The 15,347-nt window shown below is 38.2% G+C and overlaps 1 protein-coding gene across 11 annotated transcripts in view, besides 1 other annotated feature; it reads left to right on the top strand.

Annotated features, from left to right (window-relative positions):
- Positions 1–15,347, top strand: part of FRMD5 (FERM domain containing 5) — a 328,710-nt gene that overhangs the window by 165,830 nt on the left and 147,533 nt on the right. The window lies entirely within an intron of this gene.
- Positions 12,295–12,509: a silencer, noted in NCBI's record as "fragment chr15:44313333-44313547 (GRCh37/hg19 assembly coordinates)". NCBI's record gives its function as "represses an EF-1alpha promoter that drives an FKBP-Casp9 reporter gene in an ReSE screen in phorbol 12-myristate 13-acetate-treated (for megakaryocytic differentiation) K562 erythroleukemia cells {active_cell/tissue: K562(+PMA)}" and the evidence as "EXISTENCE:reporter gene assay evidence [ECO:0000049][PMID:32094911]".

Genomic DNA, 15,347 nt, shown 5'->3' with positions numbered 1-15,347 from the left:
TCGAAATATTAGAATTGTTTACTGGTGTAATTCTCTGTACAAAAATCTTACAAAGCAAGTGTAAACAATGGAATAAATGAAAGCTTCAAGTGAATATACACAATGAAAATTATATATGAAAATATTAAGTTCATTTATGCTATATCAAAAAAGAGACTTGAACAAAAACTATTATTTGGGATATTTATTGAAATGCCTCTTAAAAGAGAATTTGCCTCTTATCAGTTTGAAAAACTTTATTTTTTTTTTAACTTTTAGGTTTGGAGGCACATGTGAAGGTTTTTTACATATGTAAACATGTGTTACAGGGGTTTGTTGTAGATATTATTTCATCACCCAGATATTAAGCCCAGTATCCAATAGTTATCTTTTCTGCTCCTTTCTCTCCTCGCATCCTCCCCCTTCAAGTAGACCCAGTGTCTGTTATTTCCTTCTTGTGTTTATAGGTTCTTATAATTTAGCTATAATTAGCAAAATTATATTTTATCATTTAGCTACCACTTATAAGTAAGAACATGTGGTATTTGGTTTTCTGTAACTGTGTTATTTTTCTAAGAATAATAGCCTCCAGCTCCATCCATGTTCCTGCAAAAGACATGACCTTGTTCTTTTTTATGGCTGCATAGTATTCCATGGTGTATATGTACCATATTTTCTTTATGCAATCTGTCATTGATGGGCATTTAGGTTGATTCCTTGTCTCTGCTGTTGTGAATAATGCTGCAGTAAACATCCACATGCATGTGTCTTTATGGCAAAATGATTTATCTTCCTCTGGGTATATACCCAGTAATGGGATTGCTGGGTCCAATGGTAGCTCTGCTGTTGAGCTCTTTGTAGCGAGGAATTGCCATACTGCTTTCCACAATGGTTGAACTAATTTACACTCCCACCAACAGTGTATAAGTGTTCCCTTTTCTCCACAACCTCACAAGTATCTGTTATATTTTGACTTTTTAATAATAGCCTTTCTGACTGGTGTGAGATGGTATCTCCTTGTGGTTCTGATTTGCATTTCTCTAATGATGAGTGATATTGAGCTTTTTTTCCATATGCTTGTTGGCTGCATGTATGTCTTCTTTTGAGAAGTGTCTGTTTGTGTCCTTTGCCCACTTTTTAATGGGGTTGTTTGTTTTTTCTTGTAAATTTAAGTTCCTTATGGATGCTGGATATTACACCTTTGTCAGATGCATAGTTTGAAAATATTTTCTCCATTCTGTAGGTTGTCTGTTTACTCTGTGGACAGTTTCTTTTGCTGTGTCTGCAGAAGCTCTTCAGTTTAATTAGATCCCACTTGTCAATTTTTGCTTTCATAGCAATTGCTTTTGGCATCTTTGTCATGAAATCTTTGCTTGTTCCTATGTCCAGGATGGTATTGCCTAGGTTGTCTTCCAGGGTTTTCATAGTTTTGGGTTTTACAGTTAAGTCTTTATCCATCTTGAGTTGATTTTTGTATATAATGTAAGGAAGGGGTCCAGTTTCTATCTTCTGCATATGGATAGACAGTTTTCCCACCACCATTTATTGAATAGGGAGTCTTTTTCCCCGTTGCTTGTTTTTGTCAGCTTTGTTGAAGATCAGATGGTCATAGATGTGCAGCCTTATTCCTGGGCTCTCTATTCTGTTCCATTGGTCTATGTGCCTGTTTTAGTACCAGTACTATGCTGTTTTGGGTACTGTAGACTTGCAGGAATTATTTTCTACCCTGCTTGAATTTTAAAATAGCTCTCAAGGGACCTGATCCATAAAGATTTGCATCTATAATCTATAGAGTTGGAGCAGAATAATCATTTGATAAAAATGAAAGATGTCCCCATTTTTAGTTTCTCTAACGTTCAAGTAATCTTAAAGTTAAGGCAGATGTAAGGATAAGATGATTGGGGAATATCATGAAAATAGCCACCAAATACTGGACTACGTGAAATAGGACCAAAAGGGGTTAACATTGCCATGGACTGAACATGTTTGTACCCTGCAAAATTCATATGTTGAAACCTAATCCCCAGTGTGATGGTATTAGAAGATGGGGCCTTCGGGAGGTGGTTAGGTCATGAGGATAGAGTACTCATGATTGGGATTAATGACCTTATAAGGGGTTGAAGATACCAGATTTCTCCCCTTCCACCATGTAAGGACATATTAAGAAGGCACCATCTATGAACCAAGAAGAGGGCCCTTACCAGACACCATGAATGGCTGGCACCTTAATCTTAGATTCTCAGCCTCCAGAACTATGAGAAATAAATTTCTGTTGTTTATAAGCCACCCAGGTTATGGTATTTTGTTACAGAAGCCCAAATGGACTAAGACAAACATTAATTTTGTTTTTATATTTTCATAGAGAAATGATGGGATAACTGTAATATCCAGTTGTGTGTGGCTTTTTTTTCTCCCCTGTGGAAGAGGGGCCCTGGGCAGAACTTTATATTCTTGCACTTTTCAAGGACTTCAACCTTCATCTACACCACTATTCTAATTATTTTTATCACCCAAGCAGGTAGCTGAGTGTGCAGCACCCATCCATCCAGGCAGGTGGGAGCCCAAAGCACTCCTCACTAGGGTTGTAGAGCATGTGAGTATCTAGTCACTTGGCCAGAGCTTTTGACTAGGAGACCCAGTCAGACTGACTGACACTCCTCCTGCATCACTTTAGGGCTTCTTTTTTTTTTTCTTTTTCTGGTCTCTTTTGGAAAACCTGCTTCGGCAAATTCTTGTTGTTTTAATAGAGAATAGATTTCTTCTGCCTATTTAGTTCAGACCATTATTCTCTCTCCTATCTTTTTCAGACTTTGCACTCTTAAGTTTCTCTCATCCAGCACTTCCCTCTTCTTCCTTTCCACGTAACTTCAAGTGTGAGGGTGACAGAAAGACTGCAGATTTTGTGGAGACAGAGTCAAACCATGCCAAACTTCCATCTTCCTCCTCCTTCACCTTCTCCTTTTTGGGGATTGTAATGGGATCCATGGTATCACTGAGCTTTGCTACAAGGTGGAGTTGCCATTGATTATAGTGTTTAACTAGGGAGACTCAGAAAGGGAAACATACTTGCTTTTTCCTAGCATAGGGTTTTGTTTCCATTAAGCTTGAGAATGAATGAAGTTTACAGGAAGCTAGAAGTTTCACTGAGTCAATCCCTGTTCGCTTTATTCATCCAGGGCTTTGAAGTCATTAACACATAAAGTAGTGCTGAATTATAAATCTTGTCAGTAACACTAAGTATTTTCAGTTGTACATTATACTGTTGCTCAAGGAGAAGTAAATACAAAAATAAACAAACAGTAGAGGGCAGAATCAGGATTTATAAATGGAGTGGCTTTGTGATTCTGCTCTTCATAATCTGACTCTGGGTATGGGATTTGGATACGTAAATCTTATTAGAGCACCAATTTCCCCTCCTTCCCTCACCCCTCACCCCAGTTCAACAAAAATTAATTTTGTAAAAAAAAAAAATCAGTGTTGTAATGATCACACATGTTCATTCCCATTTAGTCTGCCTAAAGTTATGCCAGGAATTCTGTTCCAGGAAGTACAGATTTACAACATCAGCTGTCAACTTTTTTGTTTCCCATGTTCCAGTCTCTTTGAGAGCATCAGGCTACCAAGGCAGAGAATTTGTGATTTGTTTGTTCACTTATTCTTTAATTACCAGAAACATTGGAGGCTAGAGTACAAAAATGAATAAAACATAGTCCATACTCAAAAAATATATAATTCAAAGAGGCTTTTCATTCATAAGTTCTTTCAGTGTTTACTGATGATGTTCTTCAGGTGTTCTCACTTGCAGAATGCTGTGGCCATGCATCAGAATCACCTGAGACGTTACTAAAAATTAGCATTGCGTATGCTCCACCCCAGACCTACTGAATCGGAATCTCTAAGCATCTGTTCTGTTTTAAAGCCTGATAGGTAATTTTAATGTTATTGCTAGAGTGTTGAGAAACAAATTTACTGTGGAAAGTACAGTGATTGAATATGTCTGCACCTCAATCCTATATAGCCTTGTGTTTTAGTTACCATGTCAGCATATGTCAGCCTGTGTCTCCACCTCAATCCTGTATAAGCTTGTATTTTAGTTACCATATTTTCTCTGTACTGTTCCCTGTTATGTTCTGTTTACTAATCCTAGCCACTAGAATACCTATAGGTTTAATAGCTTTAACACTGAAATTATCCTGGGGCAGGTAAAATAAAGTTGCTGCTAAACACCAGAGTTAGTTTATTGGTTCAGACATCACCCATTCTGGTTCCTATTGCTGCTTTCTTATTGTGACTGCAAGGTCGAAATCCTGCACAGCTATTTGTGGTTCTGGTTTTTTTTTTTCCTTGAAGCAAAAGGATGCAGCAGTGTTATCCGAAGGGCTTTAAACAGTGAACCAAATGTAAGTTAAATATGGTGGCAGGAGCCATTCCATAAAGGTTACAAACTTGTTTTAGGAGTGAAGTGGGGACTTTTTTGGCTTGGTGCCAAAATGGAACTGGCATTGTTTTTTCAATTCAGCCTGCCTGGTATTTCTATCATAGCTTTGCTAGTTGATCAGTTTCCTCTCACTATGGCCTCTTATTCATTCCTTCATTTGGCAAATATTTGTTGAATACCTACTTATGTCAGGCACTGTTAAAGCAGTGGATGTAGTGGTAAATAAAATAGAAATGGTTTAGTCTATTTCTTTGAGCCTTCCTCAGAGAAAATGTCACTTCTTTGTCAATGTCTTTACAGCCTTTATCCTGAGACCAGGAGAGAAAAATTACCTAAATATCCAGTCTAGTTTAAAGCTTAAACTGATCCAGTAATTCAGACAGTCCCTTGGGGTAGTGTCATAAATGATGGCCATAGGTGTCTCCTGGTCTCAGGGGCAAGGTCCCTCATCCACTTTAGTGCTGCTTGTTCTGCTGTCATTTAGGGCTGAAATATGTGGCTGTAGGCTGCTTGCTCAGAACCCAGTAGCACTCTGGCTACCTGGGCCTCCCCCTGACTTCTGGTTGCACCCCCCTGAGCCTCTGGTGTGTCTGCCATCCAGTTCATCCTCTTATAATCTCTCAGTATCTGTGCCTTATGGGAACTATGGGGGCTCAGGAAACCTGAACCTCAGACACTTCTCTACCAGACCTGCTACAACGCTGAGTCACTGTTTCTGTGCACCATGTTGTGGTGGAGGCTGCCTGAGAGTTGATCTTCTCTAGACTCCCAAACATGAAGAAGGAGTGGGCACTTGGCCTTTGATTTTATCCTCACTTATTTAACAAACTGATTTATCTCCAGGCTGAGGAAATCAGTGTTGCTTTGCTGCACTTCCATCTCGCATAGTCTGGAAGTCTGGAAGGACTTTTTCCTACATTATATCCTTCTCTTGCCATAGACCTAGCATGGCAGTTATAGTTGGATGGAATATCTCCTCTACACTCCCTTTTGTATGGGCATGTTGGTTGATATAGAAAAGGGAGAAAAAGTATTTTGGAAAAGTCTTTAAGATGACTTTTCGCTTATAAACTACTGTTTTCCTGCATGTCATAGATTATATTTTTCTCTGCTTGTTCATTCTCCCTTCCTTTTCCGTGTGATATGCAACACCTCCTATGAGAGGAGTACACATCCTTGCCCCATTGATGTTAGGCTTAAATGTGTGACTTTCTTTGGCCAGTGACGTGTGAACAGATATGATATAGACCACATCTGGGCAGAAGTTTTGAAAGTCAGCACAGGGCCGGGCGCGGTGGCTCATGCCTGTAATCCCAGCACTTTGGGAGGCCGAGGAGGGCAGATCATGAGGTCAGGAGATAGAGACCATTCTGGCTAACACAGTGAAACCCTGTCCCTACTAAAAATATGAAAAATTAGCTGGTTGTGTTGGCACGCACGTGTAGTCCCAGCTACTCGGGAGGCTGAGGCAAGAGAATCGCTCAGGAGGCAGAGGTTGCAGTGAGCTGAGATGGCACCACTGCACTCCAGCCCGGGCAACAGAGCGAGACTCTGTCTCGGAAAAAAAAAAAAAAACAAAAAAAAAAACTAGAAAAGAAAGTCAGCACAGGTTTCCACCAGCCCTCTTTATTCCTTCTGCCGTGAAAGTGGCATGACCAAAATCAGGGCTGTTGCTTCTGCAAGGGTCGCAGAATAAGAGTCATGTAACAGAAACCAAGCTGCCCCTGACCTGAATCCAAACTGCACTGTAGTGAGAAAATTTTGTCCTTATAAACATGAAGATTTGGGGTTGTTACTGCAGCAAAGCTGACTTAATTCTTTCCAAATATTCCATGTTACATAACAAGAGGAACTAAATATGGAAAATATTCTAACCTCTAGTTTTTTTGGGTTTTTTTTGTTTTTGTTGTTGTTGTGTTTGTTTTTTGCTCTGGAGAAAGAAGTGACCATCGTTATGGAAATAAATGCTATGCATACAGCATATCCAGGTGAAAATTAGTAATTAAAGGATAGAAAGTCTTATTTTAAGATTGTGACATTGTTATAGGGACGTAATATAGAGAAGAAGGTACTAACCCTATTCAGTGGTGGGTTAATTCTGGGTTGTGATCCCAGGGTCATTGTCCACAGTTTGTGAACAACCATGGGATCCTTTCTGTCTTTATTTGTGTGGATGCAAGCGATATAGCTCAGATTCCAACAAACACCACAGATTCTTCTTGCTATTTTTTATTGCATTGTATTTTAGGAATTTGTAAACATGTAAGATTTATTTAGTGGTGAATACACCTGTTTATTTACTTACGCCAGAGGCAAGCAAAAGAACTGGTAGACAATGAAGAAAGAACTGTTGATCCCACAGTGATCATTTTAGCTAATCTGTGCACACATGGTAATCACCATGAGCAGAATAAATTTTGGAAAAAGAAAAATATAGTAGCTTTTTCCTTTAGAAATGCTTAGGATTCCTCTGGATTTGAGTGGTTGGAATTTCCCTGCTGATATATTTCTGGTTTGTATATAGAACTGCCCACCATTTTCTGTTTGAGAAAAATCATTTCATCATGCTCAAACCTTGGGTTTGCTAAGAAAAAATAATAGTCCTAACTTCGGATACTTTATTGTGATAGACAGGGCTTGCAACTGAATCTGATAACAGATTCGTAGTTCAGTTCTCTTGAGTAAATAAATAATAAGCTGTGAAGAAAAGCAACAATGTAGGGCCAAATCACTTTTAAAGTAATTGTTCATGTGCTATAAATGTGGAAAGGGAAAAAAACTAGATAGAACATGAGAAATACAGTAATAGTTAATCTAGTGTATTTTAATACAGTCAAATGCTATTTTAAATCGTAGAATAGGTATGACAGAAGAGGGTAATGAGTGGAACTTTTTGCTTAAGACAAAACATACTGAATGAAATTTGTTTCTATCAAGAAAGAGAGAGGCCAGATGTGGGGGTTCATGCCTGCAATCCCAGCACTTTGGGAGGCCAAGGCGGGTGGATCACTTGAGGTCAGCAGTTTGAGACCAGCCTGGCCAACATGGCGAAACCCTGTCTCTACCAAAAATACAAAAACAATGAGCCAGGCTTGGTGGTACATGCCTGTAGTCCCAGCTACTCAGGAGGCTGAGACACGAGAATCACTTGAACCCAGGAGGCAGATGTTGCAGAGAGCTGAGATGGTGCCACTGCACTCTAGCCTGGGTGACAGAGTGAGACTCTGCCCCACCCTGCCCCACCAAAAAAAGGAATTAAGGAGGGTGGAAGGAAATTAGGCTGACCATAATTGCCAGAGCCTGTATAAGTAAAGTGAATGAGAAAAGGTGTGATTTTCCTGGATCAGGTTTCAGAACTTATCCTGTTTAACAAAGAAAATCATATGTTGCTGATTCCCAGAAAGGCGGTAAGTGAGCAGCCACCAAGCCTGGCTCTCAAGAGTGGTAGGCTCCTCACCTGTCATTCAGTGGGCATCCATATCTGTTGGCTTTCTGTATACTATTCATATTTAATACTCCCTATTTTCTTAACACTCCCAGCTCTAATTCTTCCACAGATCCTACTGTACCAAATTTTATTCCAAAGTCAACAGCATTTCACATTTATACTTAGAATACTAATTAAATTATGAGTTACCATTTAATGCATAGAGTACCCTAATAACCTGAAAAATGAAGACTTGCTTCTGATGTTGACTTACTCAGTTGTTCCTATACTTTGGCAGACTGCATAGATGTATAAGATATTAGATATAATACATATAATTACATATATTTGTGTGTGTGTATATATATGTGTGTGTGTACATTCTCCCATGCATCTCTTTTGTTTGCTAGAATATCCTTCTTATCAATATCTAACTTCCTTTAATGTCCATTTAAATGGCATTTCCTCTATGAAGCCTCCATTCACTCTCTCTTAACCCCTAGCTAGACGTTACCTCTTCCCATGTCTACATTCCAATAGCATTTAATTATTTTTTTCATAGGGAGTTTTAATGATATTTTGTTCTATATTATAGTTATTTGTATATATTTGTATCCCCCCTAATAATGGTGATGGTGGTAGCAGCTACCATATGTTGAGAACTTTCTGTTGGCCAGCCACTGGATTAAACTCTATTCCTCACAATACCACTGTGAGTTAAGTATTACTACCCCACTTCTACAAATGAGGAAGTTGAGGCTGAAAGAGCTTGAGCTAGGTGGGCCAAATTCATACAGCTAGTTTGGTAAAGTTGAGATTTAAAAGCAAATCTGTTACTCTCCAGATCTCATACCTATAAACCATTCCCCTATTACTCACTTATGAATTGAGTGAGGATGTAGGTTGAGGGCAAATGGAGGAAACTCACTTTTACTGAATGTATAATCTGTGCCTGACACTTGACTAAGAGCTTTCAGGTATTTTATCACATGAAGTAGATGTTTTTATTTACATTTTATGGATGAGAAAACCCATGCTTACTATAAACAAAGATAAAAATAACAGACTTTGAGAAGATATTCGTATTTTATTTTACTGGCAAAGAATTCAGAGCCAGAATATGTTTTTAAAATTCCACAAATCAATTTTTAAAAAATGAACCAATTCCCCAATTTAAGAAATGATCAAAAGAAATGAACAGGAAGTTTACTTAAGGGTAACCTGTAATAGGAAAAAACGTATGAAATGATAACTTTATTAGCAATTAGGGAAATATAAGTTAAAAGATGAGATACCATTTCAAACCTGTAATGTTGGCAAAAATTAAAATGCCTGACATGTAGTTTTGCTAAATGAGAATGCACCTAAAATGCACAATGCTAGGTACAAAAGAAAATGATATGCCACTCTGGAGAACACTCTGGTGTTGTGAAGGTTATCATACCCTGTGACTCAGCAATTCCACTTCTTAATATATATCTTAAAGAAATTCTCCCAGGAGACATGTTTAGTGCCAATATTATGAGGGGGATGGACAAATTGTGATATTTTCATACAGTCGAAAATCATAAAAAAAAAAATCATAGGGAGTTAAAACAAATGATCTGCCACACATCTGGTGTTTATTTTCTGTACTTTTCTCTATGATTAAAATATTAATAATGTAAAACAAAAGATGAAAGAAACCTAGATTCCAACTGTACATTGTAACACTTAACAAATGTTTATTGAATTAAAATTTCATTTATGTTCACAATGGTAATAGCAGTCACAATTTACTGAGTGCTTATTTATTGCTAGGTGCTACATATACTTCATATCCTTCACATCCAACAACCTTGCAAGGCAGGTCTTGTTAGGCCAGCCACTAGATATGGAAAACGAGACCTAGGAAGGTAAAGAAAGGTTATCTTCTTTCTTGATATCATGCTGATTCTCAGAAATTCACAAAGTACTGCCCTTGTGTCCTGAAAGCATTAATGTTCCATAATTTATAATCAGTTAATAACCTGAGCTTTAAAATGATCCATTTTAATATAGTAAAAAGTGACATTCAAATACTGTAAATTTTATATTACTGAAGACTTTAGTGTTTGCCAATTCTTGTAATTTTGTTTTTAGACTACTGGAGGATCACTGGTGGGAATGTGTATGGACTGCAAACAAGTCCAATTTACTTTAAAAGAGGCTTTAAAAATACACTCTACAGTTTTTAAGTCTAGACGTTTAAGTTGAGAGGAGCTTATTTCTTTAAAAGAAATAAATGAAAAGGTTTTGTACTAAAACAGGCTCTTTCCCACAAAGAAAGTTCCGTATTATTAAGCTCAAGGTGCTTTGTAATGTTCTGCCTATTGCCACCTCCCTGTTTTCTGTCCACAGCCCCTTGGCTTACTTGTCTGGCCTCTGAGCCTTTGTACATGTCATTTCCTCTGAGTAAAATGTTATTTCAACATTATAGCTTAGGACTCCTATGTCAGGTTATAACTCTCACTGCCTCATTTGCAAGCAATTCCTGTAACAACCTCCAGATGGGGAGATACTGGGGGACCTGGGGAAATTGAGGGGAAATGGGAGTGTCTTCAGGTATCATCTAGATGGTAACTACATTTCAGGGGCAAGAACGTCTCTTGTAGACCCCTGACCTCAACCCAGGAGTGTACATAACTGGTGTGGCCCAAAGACTGGGGCTTTTTGTGTCCCCTTGCCCCTATTTTTGCATAAATACATATCTAACAGATAAGCTACTGGACCTCTGAGCTCCTCTCACTCCTCTCCCCAACATTTCTTCTCCTTCAAATTTGCCCCATTGCTTTTTTCCAAATCACCATGTTCTTAACCTCCAGGGTCATTTTTCTGATCTACCTGAAGCCATTCTGTAACAAATGCATATAACCCAAAACTTTGTAACATTAATCTGATAGTTACTTGACTATATGAAAAACGGTATGCAGCTGTGGAAATAGTGCTAGACTACTCAGATGGTCTAGAGTCAGGGCTGGCTCTTCCATTTCACATGTGTCCCTGAGCAAGTCTCTTTCTTCCTCTCCATTAGAAGGAAAGTAAGCTCACTGGAATCCTGGAACCAGCCTATCCTGGCCCACAAAATACGATTGTTAAATTTTTGGCAATCTCATGAGCTTTTTTTCTTTTAAAATTATTCAAGTGTAAGAATATTCATGATTACCTGCCCTCTTTTTTTTTTTTTTTTTTTTTTTCTGGTGGAGTGGGGACAGAGTCTTGCTCTGTTGCCCAGGCTGGAGTACAGTGGTGCAATCTCAGCTCACTGCAACCTCTGCCTCCGAGGTTCAAGTGATTCTCCTGTCTCAGCCTCCCGAGTAGCTGAGATTACAGGTACATGCCACCACGCCCAACTAATTTTCGTATGTTTTTTTTTTTTAGTAGAGATGGTGTTTCACCATGTTGGCCAGGCTGGTCTCAAACTCCTGGCCTCAAGTGATCCCCCAATCTCATCCTGCCAAAGTGCTGGATTACACGCATGAGCAACTGCACCCAGCCGCCTGCCCTCTTTTGTATTATATTAAAATATACATAACATAAACTTTATAGTTTTAGCTATTTTTAAAGTACATACACATGGTCATGAAGCCATCACTATTATCCATTTTCAGAGCTTTTTAATCATCCCAAACAGAAACTATTACTCCCTCCTCACAGACCCAAGTAACCACTCTTCTACTTTCTGTCCCTATGAATTTACTGAGTGTACCTCATGTAAGTAGATATTATTCATTATTTTTCCTTTTGTGTCTGGCTTATTTCACTTAGCATAATGTTTTCAAGGTTCGTCTATCTTGTAGCATGTACCAGAATTTTATTCCTTTTAAGGCTAAATACTATTCCATTGTATTTACATACTACATTTTGTGTATTTGTTGATGGATATTTGGGTTGTTTCCACCTTTTGGCTATTGTGAAGAATGCTTCTCTGAATAGTGGTGTACAAATACCTGTTTGAATCTTGGTTTTCAATTCTTTTGAATATATACCGAGAAGTGGAATTGCTGGATTGTATGGTAATTCCATGTTTAATTTTTGAGGAGCGACCATAACATTTTACATAGCAGCTGTATCATTTTACATATATAAGAGTTCTAGTTTCTCCACATCTTCAGCAACATTTGTTATTCTTTCTCTTTTTTTAGTAATAGCCATCCTAGTAGATGCAAAGTAGTACTTTATTGTGGTTTTGATTTGCATTTCCCTAATGATTGGTAATGTTGATCATCTTTTCATGTGCTCACTGGCTGGCAATTTGTATATCTTCTTTGGGAAAATGTTCAAGCCCTTTGCCTATTTTTAAAATAAAATTGTTTGGCCTTTTGGGTTATTGAGTTGTAGGTGTTCCTTATATGTTATATATATTAATCCCTTATCAGCTATATGCATTGCAAATATTTCCTCCCATGCTGAGTTAGTTACCTTTTATGAGCTGGTTTTAAGGCACAGAAATTATTAAAAATTAAACTATATGAACTAAAAACTTACATATATATGTATATTTGAGACAGGGTCTTGCCCAGGCTGGTGTGCAGTGTTGCAATCTCAGCTCACTGCAACATCTGCCTCCCAGGCTCAGGCAATCCTCCCATCTCAGCCTCCCGAGTAGATGGGACCACAGATGCACACCATCACACCTGGCTAATTTTTGTATTTTTTTGTAGAGACTGGGTTTAGCCATGTTGCTCAGGCTGGTCTCAAACTCTTGGACTCAAATGAGCTGCCTTGGCCTCCTAAAGTGCTGGGATTATAGGTGTGAGCCACTGCACCAGGCCAAGTTATATTAAAAACAAAATAAATACACAAAGCTAATCATTTTATGGTTATCTATTCTCTTGAGATATTTGTATCTATTATATCTAAATGATGGAAATCTTATGTAATGGTGTACCACTGCATTTTTTCGCCAACTCTGAGTTCAGTGATTTCATGTTGATAGCTTGAAATTACCTGTGATAGAAGTACTTACACCACTGAAATCAACAAACACTACAAATCAGGGCTTGATTTATTGTTTTGTTGATTGTCTAGACTCAAGAAAGTGATGAAGAAAATGTTAATAATTCATTCTCTATAGCTATTACTTGTGAATAGCACAAAAGATTGAGAAATATTCTTCCAGTATGGGAAAATTATTCATTGATTTAGCAAAGAAGTCACTCATATGATTAATAAATTAATAAAGCTCCAACGTACAGTTTTTTGCTTTACTTTTGTCTTAGTTGTTAAAAAATATACTAATTCATACATTCATGGTGACCCACATTTGAGGAGCTAGTTTTTAAAAATTTACAAACACACTACTGAGTAAGCATCCTAGGAGCAGGAACTCTGTCTTGTTCATCACTGTAAATCTGGCACCTAGAAAAGTGCCTAGCTGTTGAACAAATGAAGATATATAACTTCTCAGTGTCTCAATTTCTCATCTGTAAATTGAGGACAACAGACCTATGCTGCTACAATACTGGGGTGAGGGAAGAGCAAACGTGATAACAAAGCTGAAACCACTTTATGAACAAGCAGCATTAAGCAGATGTAAAGTGGTCTTATTAAGATATATTATGAAATGGTGAGCCAAGATCGCACCACTGCACTCCAACCTGGGCAACAGAGCAAAACCCTGTCTCAGAAAAAGAAAAAAAAAAGATATGATATGATATCATACCATATACTGAATGTATTTACCTCATATGTTGGTTGGTTAAAGGACTCTAATAGAGATAAGGATTCGTATATAGATAATTTGTTTCATTCAAAGAAAACATATATTTATTTTATTTCTTTATAAATAAATATTTTGCAGTCTCATTTGCCTGGTTCAGTGCTAGGTGTTCTGGAAAATATTACAGAAATAGATTTCTTGCACTCAAAAGATGCATATCTGCTCATAATGATAACAAATACAACATTTAGAGAACAGAAAAATTAAGTGGGAAATGTTTGGTATTAGACACCGTGCCAAGGATTTTAGTGCTTGTTCTTTTTTTTCTTTCTTTCTTTTTTCTTTTCTTTTCTTTTCCTTTTTTTTTTTTTTTTTTTTTTTTGAGACAGACTCTTGCTCTCATTGCCCAGGCTGGAATGCAATGGGTCAATCTCAGCTCACTGCAACCTCCGCTTCCCGGGTTCAGGCGATTGTCCTGCCTCAGCCTCCCAAGTAGCTGGGATTACAGGTGCCCACCACCACACCCAGCAAATTTTTTGTATTTTTAGTAGAGATGGGGTTTCACCATGTTGGCCAGGCTGGTCTCGAACTCCGGATCTGAGGTGATCCACCAGCCTCGGCCTTGCAAAGTGTTGAGGTTACAGGTGTGAGGCACCGTGCCTGGCCCTTTCTTTTTTTTTTTTTAACAGGATGCCAAAGATATTTTGACTAGCCTTTCTGATTATTAAAAACCCTTCTTTGATATTATTTTCCAGGGCATCTTGGATGATGGTGTTAGATCATCATCAGTAAGCATTTAATAGATAGTCACTGTATGTACTAGCTGTGCTAATAAAAATATAAACTCTAGGATTTACAAAATTGGGTGAAATATGGTCTGCAGAAAACAGGCAATCATAAATGCATTAGAAATATATGCCCACATCAGCCAGGCATGATGGCTCACATCTGTAATCCCAGAACTTTTGGAGGCCGAAGTGGGTGGATCACCGAGGTCAGGAGTTCAAGACCAGTCTGGCTAACATGGCAAAACTCCGTCTCTACTAAAAATACAAAAATTAGCCGGATGTAGTGGTGTATGCCTATAGTCCCAGCTACTTGGGAGGCTAGGGCAGGAGAATCGCTTGAACCCAGGAGGCAGAGGTTTCAGTGAACTGAGATCAGCCACTGCACTCCAGCCTGGGTGACAGAGTGAGACTCTATCTAAAAAAAAAAGAAAAGAAAAGAAATGTATACCCACATCGACTGTTAGCCATCTCTCTCCCTCTTAGCTATTTTAATATGCCAAAAATTATTTCTCTGGAAATAAACTGCCTAGGTCAGTAAGACCAAAACATGGAGGACAAGGAGACAGTGCTGGCTTGGGATTTACAGGGCAAAAGTCTCTATTTGACCAGATGATAAAGAAGAATGGAAAAAGAAAGGATTAGGGCCATGGAAGCCAGGGCTTTCTCCTCCTGCCCTGTACACTTTGTCTCACTCCTTGAGTCAGACTAGAATTCTTAGGGGTGCAGCCACAGACCTGTGCCTGTGGACTGAGAATTAAACAAGTGAATAGATTGAGAACTTAGTGACAGGACATTTTTAATGATTATGCCCCCAAAGTGATACTTTTTTTCAGTGTTCTATTTGCAAAGGCCCCTATCAGATTTCCTTGCTGAGAATTAATTACTCACATGCCCAAACTTAATCAAATTTTTCTCATCACTTTATGCAGACAGCCATTAAGAGTAGCTCGACACTTTACTAAAGGAGTTACCCCTCCCTTTTTAGAATACCTAAATCCCACTGAGGCATGAAACAAACAGATTGGTGTATACTGC

This window comes from Homo sapiens, chromosome 15 (assembly GCF_000001405.40).
Source record: "Homo sapiens chromosome 15, GRCh38.p14 Primary Assembly".
Taxonomy (NCBI): Eukaryota; Metazoa; Chordata; class Mammalia; order Primates; family Hominidae; genus Homo; species Homo sapiens.
This window is presented reverse-complemented; position numbering and strand designations above follow the sequence as displayed.